This window comes from Homo sapiens, chromosome 13, assembly GCF_000001405.40.
Source record: "Homo sapiens chromosome 13, GRCh38.p14 Primary Assembly".
Taxonomy (NCBI): domain Eukaryota; kingdom Metazoa; phylum Chordata; class Mammalia; order Primates; family Hominidae; genus Homo; species Homo sapiens.
In genome coordinates, this window is record NC_000013.11 from 52,601,991 (window position 1) to 52,617,104 (window position 15,114).

The 15,114-nt window shown below is 44.0% G+C and overlaps 1 annotated feature.

Moving 5' to 3' along the window:
• Positions 14,850-14,969: an enhancer, noted in NCBI's record as "active region_7792". NCBI's record gives its function as "activates an Ori minimal core promoter by ATAC-STARR-seq in GM12878 lymphoblastoid cells {active_cell/tissue: GM12878}" and the evidence as "EXISTENCE:reporter gene assay evidence [ECO:0000049][PMID:35858748]".

The window sequence follows — 15,114 nt, forward strand, 5'->3', positions numbered from 1 at the left end:
GTAAATGGGCACTCATCAGAATCAGCACTTTAGAACTTGGGCTTCTGGACCATAATTGAGTTCCAGAAGCAAGCCGTGGAGCTGGGATGACTTACCCAAAGTGACAGGGAACATAACTAATTGGAAGCAGATCCAGGAGCCGAAACTACAGTTACAGCAGCCTAGAGGGGTTGGCAGTATCAGCTGGTCCAGTGGCTTTTGCAGCTTAAGAAAATGAGACCCAAAAGAACCCTGATTAAGGACAGACTTGGCTGAGTATGGTGGCTCATGCCTATAATCCCAACACTGGGAGGCCGAGGCAGGAGGATCACTTGAGCCTGGAAGGGCGAGGCTGCAGTGTGCGGTGTTCACATCATTGCACTCCAGCCTGTGTGACTGACCAAGACCCTGTCTCAAAAAAAAAAAAAAAAAAAAAAAAAAAAAAAAGGATAGACCCGGTTACAGATTAGAGCACTGGACTTGGGGCCAGGATGTTTGTGTAAATGTCCCTGTGTGACCTTTAGTGAGTCACTTAACCTTTTGTAAACCCCAGCCACAGTATGACTGCATTACCAGCTCCTCTGAACCCCCTGTGCTCAGTCTGCTGGAAGAATCCACCGTGCAGGGCGCTTGGTACTTTCTGCAAGCCATTGGGCCCCAGCCTAATGCTTTGTCTTGTCTTCCTTGAGCCCCTTCCTCTCCTGTCCTCAAGGGCTGTTCCAAACTCTCATCATTGCCGAGCCTTCCACATTTCTCCTCTCTACGCCTCCCCTTTGCAACCATCAGCCTCAATTTGTTCTATAAGAAACAATCTGAATTTTGCTCAGGTTTTTAATCCCTAATCTACAAAGTTACCTCTTTTTTTGCACAAACTCTCATCCATTTGTCCACTGTCCAACTTACTTGCTGTGTCCTCTTGCCTAGCCCAATGGCCAGGAAGAATGAGGATGAGGGAGAAACCAAGGCTTAGAGAGGCCAGGTCACTCCCCAAAGTTACACAGGTGTGAAGAGAAGAGCGGGGACTCAATAAAGTTCTGTCCAACTCAGAAGGTCAGGTGCTCAGCCGCTACACTGTGTGGTGCTCCCTCCCAGAGATTCTTGTTAAAAGCAAGAGAGCTGCAAGAACTGGAAGTTCTTTCTTTCGGGATAGATCTCCTTCCACAGTATTTTATAAAAATCACCTCAGCAGCTTAAAATCCCCCACAACGGTGCTCTTTCTGCTGTCTTTATTTTAGGAAGAGAAATGAAGATACTGATGTTAAAATGCTTCCTATCTCTCAGATGCTCAGAGAACTGATTTCAAAATCACCTGGTTGGCACTAAATCAAGAAAGTGTCCTTGCAAACTTTGTTCCGAGTGTAATTTCCTAGGGATCCTATGGCCTCTTGAGAACAGCATTTTAGGGACATGGATCACTGCTCTCTATAGAGGTAGCTCAACTCAAGAGCATTTTACATGTAGGCTCCAGACAGCAAACATGTCAACACACTGACCTCTCTGCTCCAGGTGACTGTTTGCTACACTGGGGATTGCACAAGTCAGAGACTTCAATGCAACTGGCTTTGTGATGGGTGGCAGGTGTGATGTGGGTCAGAGGTGAGAGGACAGACAGAATGGCTGCATGGAAAAGCGAGCATTTGCTATTCTACAGAATTCCATAATGCACTGGTTAATGACACTAAAAGGAGAAATAATTTCACAAAATGTATCCCTGGTCCTGACACCACGTGGGGCGTGTTTTAACAAAGTGAGTTAATTGGGGTTGCAAATAGATCAAGAGCATAAAACATCTCTGACTCAAATGTATTTTTAGTTAATAAGAAAGAAGAGGGGCCCAGCACGGGGGTTCATGCCTGTAATCCCAGCACTTTGGGAGGCCCAGGCTGGTGGATCATCTGATTTCAGGAGTTCAAGACCAGCCTGGCCAACATGGTGAAACCCCGTCTCTACTAAAAATACAAAAAAAAAAATTAGCCGGGCATGGTGGCGGGTGCCTGTAATCCCAGCTACTTGGGAGGCTGAGGCAGGAGAATCGCTTGAACCTGGGAGGCCAAGGTTGCAGTGAGCTGAGATCGCTCCATTGTACTCCAGCCTGGGCGACAAGAGCGAAACTCCATCTGGGAAAAAAAAAAAAAAAAAAACCAAGAAAGAAGAAAACTTCCTTTTGATTATGCAATTTTAGTTCCCATTACATGTTCTTGGCTGCTGATTAGAAATTTAAATTCTAGAATTAAAAAATTCTAGAAGTAGGAGTTTCCAGAGCTGATTAATTTAACAGCTCAAGAGTATCTGGGGAAGCTTCTCTGTAAGTCTCTTAGCCTTTCCCTCATGACTGCAAGATGGCTGCCACAGCTCTGCCTATCACATCCGCACATGCAACATCCAAAGGCAGGAAGGAAGCACACTCACATATCTTCCTCTCATCAGAGAAAACAATCTTTCCCAGCAGCCCTCTGTCAGGCTTCCCCTTGTGTTTCATTGGCTTAGAAATGGGTCTCATACTCCTCCCAAAAATCAACACTCAGAGGAGACTGGTGTTAGCATGATCGCTTGAGAATAGGGTCAGCAAAGTTCTTCTGAAGAGGACCAGCCAGTAAATATTTCAGGCTTTGCAGGGCATGGGGTCCATGTCACATCTAGTCAGCTCTGCTCTTGTAGAGCCAAAGCAGCTAGAGACACTGGAAACAAATACATATGCCTGTGTTCCAATGTCACTGTGGACACTGAAATTTGAATTTCATATATTTTTTACCTCTTACAAAGCATTTTTTTTGGTTCTTTTTCCAGCGAATTAAAAGTGTAAAAAGCATTTTGTATGGTATGAGGCCATACAAACACAGGTGGTAGGCCAGATTTGGTTAGCAGGCTGTAGTTTGTCAATCCCTGGTTTAGAGCAATGAGGACTCATCCCCTTGGGGCTGTGGGAAGGGACCACCTTCCCTGAAACATCACCACTCACACCTGAAAAAAAGAAGGGTGAGGGAAGTGTTGTTAGGCAACTGAGAATGTCTCCTACAGCATATTAAGGTTATGGAAAAACGCTGAGGGTTATGATAATTTTTAAAAAGCAAATTACATGTCAATATGGGCAGGATGATCCCAACCAATTCTGCTTGTTGAAATCCCTGCCATTCACTGAAATCTATGTTAGACGCAGCCACCCGAGAGCACCTGTTTCTGATTCCTGGTTCTCAGAAGCCAAATTGGAGCATCCCTTCCTATCCATGACAAACTTCCCTTTAGCACCTATCCTGTGCTGGATGCTGTCAACCCAAACTAACTGCTGGAAATGCAGAAGTGAAAGAGCCAATGGCTAGCCTCAAAGAAATCACTGTCGCCGGGCGCGGTGGCTCACGCCTCTAATCCCCAGCACTTTGGGAGGCCAAGGCAGGTGGATCACAAGGTCAGGAGATCGAGACCATCCTGGCTAACACAGTGAAACCCCGTCTCTACTAAAAGTGCAAAAAAAATTAGCCAGGTGTGGTGGCGGGTGCCTGTAGTCCCAGCTACTTGGGAGGCTGAGGCAGGAGAATGGCGTGCACCCAGGAGGCAGAGCTTACAGTGAGCTGAGATCGCGCCACTGCACTCCAGCCTGGGTGACAGAGTGAGACTCAATCTCAAAAAAAAAAAAAGAAAAGAACAGAAATCATTGTCCAAGCAGAGGAGGAAGAAACCAGGAACTATAATTCAGGGGTGGGTATGCAGCAAGAGGCATGTGGGTAGGGGGGCATCCCTGGAGGGAATGAATGAGGGATGGAATAGAAGTTTCAGGGGAGGCCCACAGGAGACCTCTGTGCCAACATAAATGGCATCTGGCCCTTTGTTAAGAGGATGAATGTAGTTGGTGTATCATCTACTCCAGGGGCCAGGAGAGTTGCAACTAAGCCAGGCTCTTAGTTGTAATCAACAGAAGCACAGAAGAGATTGATTAAAAGGATTAAAAGGTTGTAGAGTGACTCTTCTGCTTGCTGGATGGGGAGGTGGAATGCCGTGAATAGCTTCCTGCACCAAGGCCCTATGCCCACTGCAGTCCTGGCCTGCAGTGGAAACCACTGCTGCTGCCCCCCTAGAGCTCTGGATGTGATGGTTTGTGATGCTGCCCCTTCTCATACCAGGGCCACAGCCCAGTATCCTTTGCTCCTCCAAAGCTGTGTGCCTGCGTTACCAGCTTTGCCCGGTACATCACTTACACACTGCGTCCACTGCCTTGGATTGCTTATCTCTAAGTTGGTATCTCATGTAGATGCAGCTGATGGAGGGAGGCTGGGTCATGTGCCTGTACCCTGCTCTGCATAGAAGCCTGGCTGACTGGGATCTCTGGCAACTGCCTTGGAGAGGTAGGACTCACTCGTGTGTTAGGAAATCCCCAGAACATAGCCGGGGTTTTCAAACAATGCTAGGCAGCCAAAAAACATGACACATGTCCACTCTGCATGGACCAAGCATCCCAGTCAGAGGAAACATGCAAAGGCACAGAGGTGTGAACCGGCAGAGCATGTTTGGGGAAATGGAAGCAGTTTGTTTCTGCAGAAGAGAGCAGTGAGTGTTGGGAGAGTTGCTTGGTGCAGCCAGCAGGAGCCCCTGCTAAACTCATGGTCCTTGTGGCTCCAACCTCAAGGGAAAATACTTTTTTTTTTGAGACAGAGTCTTGCTGTGCCACCCAGGCCTGAGTGCAGTGGCATGATCACAGCTCACTGCAGCCTCGAACTCCTGGGTCCAGGTTCATGTCCGTGTCCTGAATGGCTGGGACTACAGGCGTGCGCCACCACCCCCAGCTAATTTTTGTATTTTTCTGTAGAGATGGGTTTTTGCCATGTTGCCCAGGCTGCTCTTGAACTCCTGGTCTCAAGCAATCCTCTTGCTTTGGCCTCCCAAAGCACTGGGATTACAGTTGTGAGCTATCAAGCCCAGCAAGGGCAAGTACCTGTATCTTACTCAGTGTTCCCTGCTGAGGCCCAGGAGCTGTGATTAACTCCTTGCTGGGCCCAGGGCCCTGCCCCTGGTGAGTTTTAGTCAGTATCTGTCTAAAGGAATTATCTTTGTAAACTGTTGGATTGCATCATTGTTGTGAAATAGCAAGTGTATGCAGCTTCTCTCTCTTTCTCTTCTCTCTCTCCTTCTCTCTTGTGTGTACATTTCCACAATGTACTATTTTATAATTACATTAATAATGGTTCCCCCAGTAAAAATAATCTGGATTTAGACCGTTGGTATCTAAATATTTGTATGGCACCTATCACTAGATATTTAGCCATTTATAAACATCTTTTTAAAATGCTTTCATTAAATTAGTTATTCTGGGCAAACACAGGCAAATATAACCATTGAAAGGACACACAAATAAAGGTCCAGCAGAGTTGAGATGCCATTGCCTTAGAGATTAGCATGCAAGCTCTGGATCAGACACCTGAGAGGGAAATCCTAGCCTCTCTGCTTCCAGCTGGATGAATCGGAAAAGTCTCTTGGGGTGGGAATGAGAGGAAAGATCTGGTTCTGCCAGTTGATGCTTTGAGTACCCCCTGCTCCATGCTGCTGCTTCTCAGCTTCATGCGATTGTACCTTTGAGGACTTCCATGGGCCACATTCTAACCTTTTTTAATTTTTTTAAGACACAAGGTCTTGCTCTGTCACCCAGGCTGGAGTGCTGTGGCGTGACCATAGCTCACTGCAGCCTTGAGCTCCGAGACTCAAATGATCCTCCCACCTCAGCCTCCTAAGTAGCTGAGACCACAGGCCTGTGCCACCCTGCCTGGCTAATTTTTAATTATTTTGTTTGTGTGTTTGTTTGTAGAGAAGGAGGTCTCACTATATTGACCAGGCTGTTCTCAAACTCATGGCCTCAAAACAATCCTCCCATCTAAACCTCCCAAAGTGCTGTGATTACAGGTGTGAGCCACCGTGCCCAGCACTAACCCTCTTATTTACAATGGGATTGTTTGCCTCACTGTGCCTAAATTTGTAAAACATGGCCAATTCTTAAATGCTCTGTCATTCAAAGTATTTAGTCAATCTCTCTGTTCCAATTAAGCACCAGAAATTTGGAGATGAAAAGCCGCACCTCATTTCGTTCACTGAGAATCACAAAGCCAGGCACAGGGGGCTGGGAGCAGTAGAGCATGGGCACAGAACCCAGCCCAGAGGACCAGGAAAGGTTCTAGAGCTTGGGGCAAGAGCTGAGCCTTGAAGTAGGAGTAGGAGTTAGGCAGGGAGGAAGAAGGAAACGCAGCATTGGATGGCAAGGAGGTGGGGGAAGGCATGGCCGTGTCTGGGAGCTGCAGGGGCTCCCGTCAGGGTGGGAGGAGAGGTAATGGGAAGGAGACTAGCGAAGGAGGCAGGGCTGATCTTGAGGGGTCTCACAGGCCCTGCTAAGAGAGTGCAGGATTTCTTTAGAGGATGGTAGAGGGAGCCGCTGAGTAATACAGACTTCCTGATGTGAACGTAGCTGTGTGGAGGAGGCTGACAGCATGGACTCTGGGTCGACTGTCCGGTCCTCAAAAGCTGGCTCTCCCACCTGATGACTTTGTGATAGTGAGAAGCTCCTGTAAGCCTCAAATTTCTCATCTTAAAAGTGAAAAATGGTGTTACTTGCCTCAGGAAATTTTGTGAAGATGAGAAAATACAAATAAAGCACTATTATAGTGTCTAATACTTAGTGGTCAATAAATGCTAACTATGGTTGTTATTGATCATTTGAATAATAATGAGGTATACAGTTTGTCTCATTTTGTAGACTTGTGATAATGGAATGAATGAACTTTGTCACAGCAAAATAAGTTTAAAATGTTAGTTGTGTATCCTGATAGAAAATATAAACTTAAAAAAATTTCTTCATGAGACAGAGGTCTCACTATGTTGCTCAGGCTGGTCTCCAACTCCTGGCCTCAAGCTAACCTCTCACCTCAGCCATTGTGCCTGGCTAATATAAACATTTGTTTATTCATTCCACAAATATTGATTGACCATGAAGGATGTACCAGGCACAGTTCCAGGCTCTTGGGATAAGGTAGTAAATGAGGCTGCCCCCTCGATGAGGGATCCCTACTCTCACTGAGCTTACATTCCAGCGGGGAGGCTGATGATGAAAAAGGAAACAATGTGATTCCCAAGACCTGTACGTTCCGCCAGGGCAGGGAACTTGTTGCATTTGTACCTTGATCTATCCCAAGTGCATGAGACAGGGCCTAGGTCAGGCACTTGATGAACGTGTTGAGTGAATGGAAGATTATTTCAGATAGTGCTGAGTGCCGGAAGACAAGGAAACAGCGCTACATGACAGAATGGGAAGGTCGACTTGGCTAGATGCGGTGCACGGCTGAGAAAGCACTGCTGAGCTGAAGTGGATGGTATGAAGGAATCAGTCATGGGACAGTCTTTGGGACAGCTATTCCAGGCCAAAGAATTTTCCATGCCTAAGCTGAAGGCCCTGAGGCAGGGCTGTGCTGGGAATGCACAAAGACGGGAATGAATGGACCCCACAGCACAGGGGCCAGTAATTTGTGGGTCATTGGCAGGCATGTCTTTTATCTAACAGGAGACTATTTTTGCCTCCAGAGGGCACTTGAACATAACAAATGCATCTAAGGGCCAGCTTGGGTTAACACTTAGACAGAAAGCAGTTTCCTGAAAGCATAACTTCAGAGGCCAGGAAAGCAAAAAGAAAATAATCTCAGCTGTAGCCTTTGCTTATTGAAATTTGAAAGCACCTCTTTTAAAAATTAACTTTTATGAGATAGTACAAGTGTTAGCTAGCAATGTGGGCTTTCATACATTAGTGTTAGTTTAACAACATAGCCCTCCCCTTGGTGGATAGATGAGAGAGCAGTTTGACAGGTAGGAGAGGGGACGAAAGGCTAATTTAGAGAGGTCTCGGCAAAGGTGTCAGGTCTGGGTGAGACCCAAAGCAAGGAGGCTCTGAGAAGCTAAAAGGCAACATAGAGAGGGGCCAAGGGACGGGGGAGAATGAGTACAAGAAGGCAAGAGGATGGGCTGGGGGAACCAGAGTACTCTCATGCACTTTAGAAATTGACCTGAGGACAGTTCTGCCTGGTCATATCTCTGTCGTCTCCAAAAGTCATGTGCTAAGCACTGTTTCAACATAGTTCTATGTCATATGCTGTGCAATACACACTAGTGTGACATGATCCTGGTCTTCCATGTACCTAAAATCCAAAGCAGTTTTACACATGAATATACTAAGAATGAGTCATCTTACGTGGAGGGGAAAGACAAGTACCTAGACAATCTAATTTGAAGGACACGAAACCACTTCGTCTTCAGTCCCATCTCCCGTAAGTCCTCCTGCTGTGGGCCTCTCCATGCTCCTCCCTCTTACTTTGTCCTTTGGCTTTGGGCACTAAAGCGCTTGTGAAGAAGCTAATGAAATCTAGGAAACTCATCCATCTGGGTGCAACCTCTCTGGGCCTCCACAGGCCTGGCACCTGTTGCATTGCCTATCTTGTTAGTTTACCTGCTCCACATCTGTGATCTCTGCTAGATCACCAGCCCCTTGAAGCAGGGAACAAGTCATACTCACCTGTGTGTTCCAAGGGGACTAAAGCTTCATTTTTCACATAGTGTTATACAGTTACACTAATATCATCTACCTATATATTATATAAACATGCACGTATGTTCATCTTTTGCTGTTGTTGTTTTTTTTGAGACAGGCTCTTGCTCTGTCACCCAGGCTGAAGTGCAGTGGCACTGCAGCCTCTGCCTCCTGGGCTCAAACAATCCTCCCACCTCAGCCTCCAGAGTAGGTGGGACTGCAAGCACACACCGGCATGCCCACCTAATTTGTTTATTGATTTGTATTTTTTGTGGAGATGAGGTTTCACCATGTTGCCCTGGTTAGTCTTGAGCTCTTGGGCTCCAGTAATCACCCACCTTGGCCTCCTAAAGTGCTGTTTTAGGCTGTGTTTGAGGCTGTTTTAGGCTGTGTTGTGAAGATGCAGAGGCAAAACAGCTCTTTTTTTTTTGAGATGGAGTCTCGCTCTGTCGCCCAGGCTGGAGCGCACTGGTGTGATCTCGGCTCACTGCAAGCTCTGCCTCCTGGGTTCATGCCATTCTCCTGCCTCAGCCTCCCGAGTAGCTGGGACTACAGGCGCCTGCCACCACGCCCGGCTAATTTTTTGTATTTTTAGTAGAGACGGGGTTTCACCATGTTAGCCAGGATGGTTTCAATCTTCTGACCTTGTGATCTACCTGCCTCGGCCTCCCAAAGTGCTGGGATTACAGGCGTGATCCCTGTTTTGTCGTGCCCGGCCTGACGAAACAGCTCTTAATCCACCTAAGAAAAAAGAAAGGAAATACCACATCCAGTATATACCACACACATCATCCCTCACCCAGATCAGGAAACCTCACGATGAGTTATGCCCCCAGTAAGCCCATCCAGCCTCATTCTCTCCTTCTTTCTGTGCCTTTAGCTAGTACACTGCCTTTGGAAAGATGTCCATAATCCTTTAATACTTTTGCTAGTAGAGCCACAAGTGAATAGAAGTAGGTAGCTGAAACTGCTGGACAACTGGGTTTATTCTGCAGGCTTATTTCACAAAGCGCAAACCTCAGAAAACTGAGGCCATTGCTGGCCTGGCTAGTTGGATTTCCAAATATTGACCATTCCTGGACTCCTCATTACAGGTTTTCATACACCTGCTGAGACACATGACTGCCCTTGTTGGATAATCCTGATGTCATTGAGGAAATTAAATGAGATGAGGGTGTAAATTGTTCAGTGTGCAGTGGGCAGTCAGTGGTGTTATTGTCTCATTAACACATTGCAGCTATTTATGCTGCCCCCTGATTTTGTTGGAAACAGTCTTATGTACTTTTTTTACACAGAGGCATTGAAAGTTAATTCATAGTTGATTTTAGGGGAAAGGATTACTTTGAACATAAAAGACACAGATTTACAGACATTTATTGGGAAATGAAGTCACGTATATGGGCAATTCTAGTGACTAAAAAGCAATTAAAAATTACATTTGATTGCTTGTCAAGTACATAGACAAGTATGATGGAAAATGGTATAAAACAAACAGCAGAATAGGATACATTTTGCTGGAAAAGCAAAGTAGTGACAGAGCATGTAAGCCTCACCTGGGCCATGACATTCGTGTTCTGCCATCCTGCCACTTGGGAGAAGTGGCTTCATGGTTTACCTTTTTGTGTGTCATCCACTAGCATGAACTACTGATTACTTCATGCAGATGGACAGAATATTCTCAATTTTTCTGAATCTTTGTAGATGTATTATTTATTCACTTAGATCTTTCCAAGATGTATTATTTACTAGATCTAAAGTGTTTCTTAGAATTCATGTAGTAATTAAATAATGTTAGAAAAGAATCTGGGGTACATTAAATATCATGAGAAAGAAATTCATTAAGGTGAATTGAAATTGCTTGTACCATTAAGGTAATGTGCTATTTTAATATCTTTGCTGTGATTTTGTAACTTTGTAAGAGTTAACCTGTTTTTAGTATTTCTACGCTATTATGAATACCATGCATAACATAGTTTTTCAGCTTTTCACTAGTCATTGACTCCCATCTCTAATCATTAGCTATCAACTTTCAAATGATCATTTATTCATAGAGTGTTTTGGAATCAGGGTGGTGATTATAAAAGTTGGGTGAGCATTATTGTGTTGTATGGCAGTAAATAGAACTGTTGTCCTGGACTCTAGATACTGGTCAGCATGGGCTTCAAAGATTTCTTTTGGGCAGCTGGACCAACCCCTTCCCTGTGGTTCTTCTGCATCCATGCAACCCCCAGAGCAAGTCAGATTCTTGGTGCTGGTCCTTCCTATCTGCTCATCCCACTGCAGAAAACAAAGAATGCCTATCTGTGTCTCAGGATAGGACTGATCCTAAGCTCTCATGCTGGACTCCTCCAAAGATATGCTATACTTTGGAACACAGAAAAACTCTTCATAATATCCAGTGCTAAGTGCTTTATAATACAATTGAATGCAAGAGCAACACTATTTTCACTTAGATTTCTGACTTTTAATGATGATTCAAGAGGTCTGCAGCACCATGAATTATTAATAGCTGGAAACAATATTCTGATTTATTTTTCTTTTTCTTTCTTTTTTTTTTTTTTTTGAGACAGAGTTTCGCTCTTGTTGCCCAGGCTGGAGTGCAGTGGTGCGATCTCGGCTCACTGCAAACTCTGCCTCCCGGGTTCAAGCGATTCTCCTGCCTCAGCCTCTGGAGTAGCTGGGATTACAGGCATATGCCACCACACCTGGCTAATTTTGCATTTTTAGAGCCCCATTGTAGAGATGGGGCTTCTCCATGTTGGACACTATCTCAAAAAAAAAAAAAAAATCAGTAGCATTTCTATATGCCAACAGTGAGCAATGTGAAAAAGAAATTTAGAAAGTACTCCCAGTTACAATAGCCACACATAAAATTAAATACTCAGGAATTAATGAATGATGTGAAAAGTCTGTATAATGAAAACCATAAAATACTGATGAAGGAAGTTGAAGAGGACATTAAAAAATGGAAAGACATTCCATATTCATAGATTGGAAGAATTGATATTGTTAAAATGTGCATTCTGCCCAAAGCAATCTACAGATTCAACGCAATTCCTATCAAAATACCAATGACATTCTTCACAGAAATAGAAAAAAAAGAATCCTAAAATTTATCTGAAACCACAAAAGACCCAGAATAGCCAAAGGGATCCTAAGCAAAAAGCACAAAACTGGAGGAATCACATTACCTGACTTCAAATTATACTAGAGAGCTATAGTAACCAAAACAGCATGGTACTGGCATAAAAACAGAAACATAGACCAATGAAACAGAATAGAGAACCCCAAAACAAATCCACACTCTACAGTGAACTCACTTTCAACAAAGGTGCCAAGACATACACTGGGGAAAAGACAGTCCCTTCAATAAATGGTGCTGGGAAAACCAGATATCCACATGCAAAAGAATGAAACTAGACCACTATCTCTCGCCATATAGAAAAATCAAATCGAAATGGATGAAAGACTTAAGACCTCAAACTATAAAGCTACTACAAGAAAACATTGGGAAAAATCTCTAAGACATTGGTCTGGGCAAAAATTTCTTGAGTAATACTCCACAAACACAGGCAACCAAAGTGAAAATGAACATATGGGATCACATCAAGTTTAAAAACCTTCTGCACAGAAAAGGATACAGTCAACAAAGTGAAGAGACAACCCACCAAATGGGAGAAAATATTTGCAAACCACCCATCTGACAAGGGATTAATAACCAGAATATATAAGGAGTTCAAACAACTCTATAGCCAGCCATCCCATTACTGGGTATATACCCAAAGGACTATAAATCATGCTGCTATAAAGACACATGCACACGTATGTTTATTGCGGCACTATTCACAATAGCAAAGACTTGGAACCAACCCAAATGTCCAACAATGATAGACTGGATTAAGAAAATGTGGCACATATACACCATGGAATACTATGCACCCATAAAAAATGATGAGTTCATGTCCTTTGTAGGGACATGGATGAAATTGGAAATCATCATTCTCAGTAAACTGTCACAAGGACAAAAAACCAAACACCGCATGTTCTCACTCATAGATGGGAATTGAACAATGAGAACACATGGACACAGGAAGGGGAACATCACACTCTGGGGACTGTTGTGGGGTTGGAGGAGGGGGGAGGGATAGCATTAGGAGATATACCTAATGCTAAATGACGAGTTAATGAGTGCAGCACACCAGCATGGCACATGTATACATATGTAACTAACCTGCACATTGTGCACATGTACCCTAAAACTTAAAGTATAATAATAATAAAAATAAAATAAAATAAAATAAATAAAACAACTCTATAGGAAAAATACTAATAATTTGATCAAAAAACGAGCAAAAGATTTGAATAGGCATTTCTCAAAAGAAAACAAATAGCAAACAGACATATGAAAAGGTGCTTATCATTATCATCAGAGAAATGCAAATCAAAACTGCAATGAGATATCATTTCACCCCAGTTAAAATGGCTTATATCCAAAGCCAGGTAATAACAAATACTGGCAAGGATGTGGAGAAAAGGGAACACTTGTACACTGTTGGTGGAATGTATATTAGTACAACCACTATGGAGAACAGTTTGGAGGTTCCTCAAAAAACTAAAAATTGAGCTACTACATCATCCAACAATCCCACTCCTAGGTATATACCCAAAAGAAAGGAAATCAGAATATAGAAAAGATATCCACACTCCTATGTTTGTTGCAGCACTGTTTACAATGGCTAAGATTTGGAAGCAACCTCAGTGCCCATCAACAAAGGAATGGATAAAGAAAATGTGGTATATATACACAATGGAGTTCTATTCAGCCATGAAAAAGAATGAGATTCAGGCATTTGGAACAGCGTGGATGGAACTGGAGGTCATTATGCTAAATGAAATAAGCTAGGAAAAGAAAGACAAACGTCTCATGTTCTCACTTATTTGTGGCATCTAAAAATCAAAACTATTGAACTCCTGGTCATAGAGAGTAGAAGGATAGTTACCAGAGGCTGAGAAGGGTAGTGGGGAGTTGGAGGGGAGGTGGGGATGGTTAGTGGGTACAAAAAATATAGAAAGAATAAGACCTATTTTAATTGCGCAATAGGGTGACTGTAGTCAATAACAATTGTATATTTTTAAATAACTTAAAGAATGTAATTGAATTGTTTGTAATTCAAAGGATAAATGCTTGAGTACTCCATTCTCCATGATGTGATTAATACGCATTGCATGCCTATATCAAAACATCTCATGTATTCCATAACTATATACACCTACTATGTACCCACAAAAAATTTAAAAATAATTTAAAACAGTTTTTTAAAGAAAATACTGATGAAATGAATGGAATTAACTAATTCAAAGTTTTCTAGGATGTGGTAGCAACTCTCTGAAAATCGTCCCCCAGTGGCCACTGCTGCTGGTACTTTCAGGGAAGTGTGGTTCCTTCACTTTGAATCTGGACTGGCCCTGTGACCCATTTTGCACCAATAGAATGAAATGAAAGTGATGTCATGTGACTTTCAATGCTGTGCAGCTTTAGTCTGGTGTGAATGTTCACTCTAAGGCAAGCCAGCTGCTCTGTAAGAAGTCCAAATATAGGCCAGGCCCAGTGGCTCACGTCTGTAATCCCAGCACTTTGGGAGGCCGAGGCAGGCCGATCACGAGGTCAAGAGATCAAGATCATCCTGGCCAATGTGGTGAAACCCCATCTCTACTAAAAATACAAAAATTAGCTGGGCGTGGTGGTGCATGCCTGTAGTTCTAGCTACTCGGGAAGCTGAGGCAGGAGAATTGCTTGAACTCAGGAGGTGGAGGTTGGAGTAAGCTGAGATTGCGCCACTGTACTCCAGCCTGGAGAGAGAGAGAGACTAAAAAAAAAAAATAATAATAATAATAAAAAGAAGTCCAAATATGCTGAGATGCCATGCTGTGAGGAAGTGCAACCCAGCCAGGTACAAAAGTCATGGGGCAAGCTGGCGCAGTGTCTCACGCCTGTAATCCCACACTTTGGGAGGCTGAGGCAGGTGGATCACCTGAGGTCAGGAGTTTGAGACCAGCCTGGACAACATGGTGAAACTCCCGTCTCTACTAAAAAAATACAAAAAGTAGCCAGGTGTGGTGTCGTATGCTAATCTGGAGGCTGCTAATCTCCAGCTAATCTGGAGGCTGAGGCAGGAGGATAGCTTGAACCTGGGAGGCAGAGGTTGTAGTGAGTCAAGATCACGACACTGTGCTTCAGCCTGGGCAACAGAGTGAGACTTCATCTCAAAAAAAAAAAAAAAAAAAAAAAAAAAAAAGCACGGGGCAAAGGTGTGGAGAGAGATTCAGCTAGCCCCTGTTTCTTCCAGTTACTCCAGCTGAGGCATCAGATGTGTGGGTGAAGAAACCACCAGACGCGGTGGCTCACGCCTCTAATACCAGCACTTTGGGAGGCCGAGGCGGGCGGATCACGAGGTCAGGAGTTTGAGACCAGCCTGGCCAACATGCTGAAACCCCGTCTCTACTAAAAGTACAAAAAAGAAAAAAAAAATAGCCGGGCGTGGTGGCGCACGCCTGTAATCCTAGCTACTCAGGAGACTGAGGCAGGA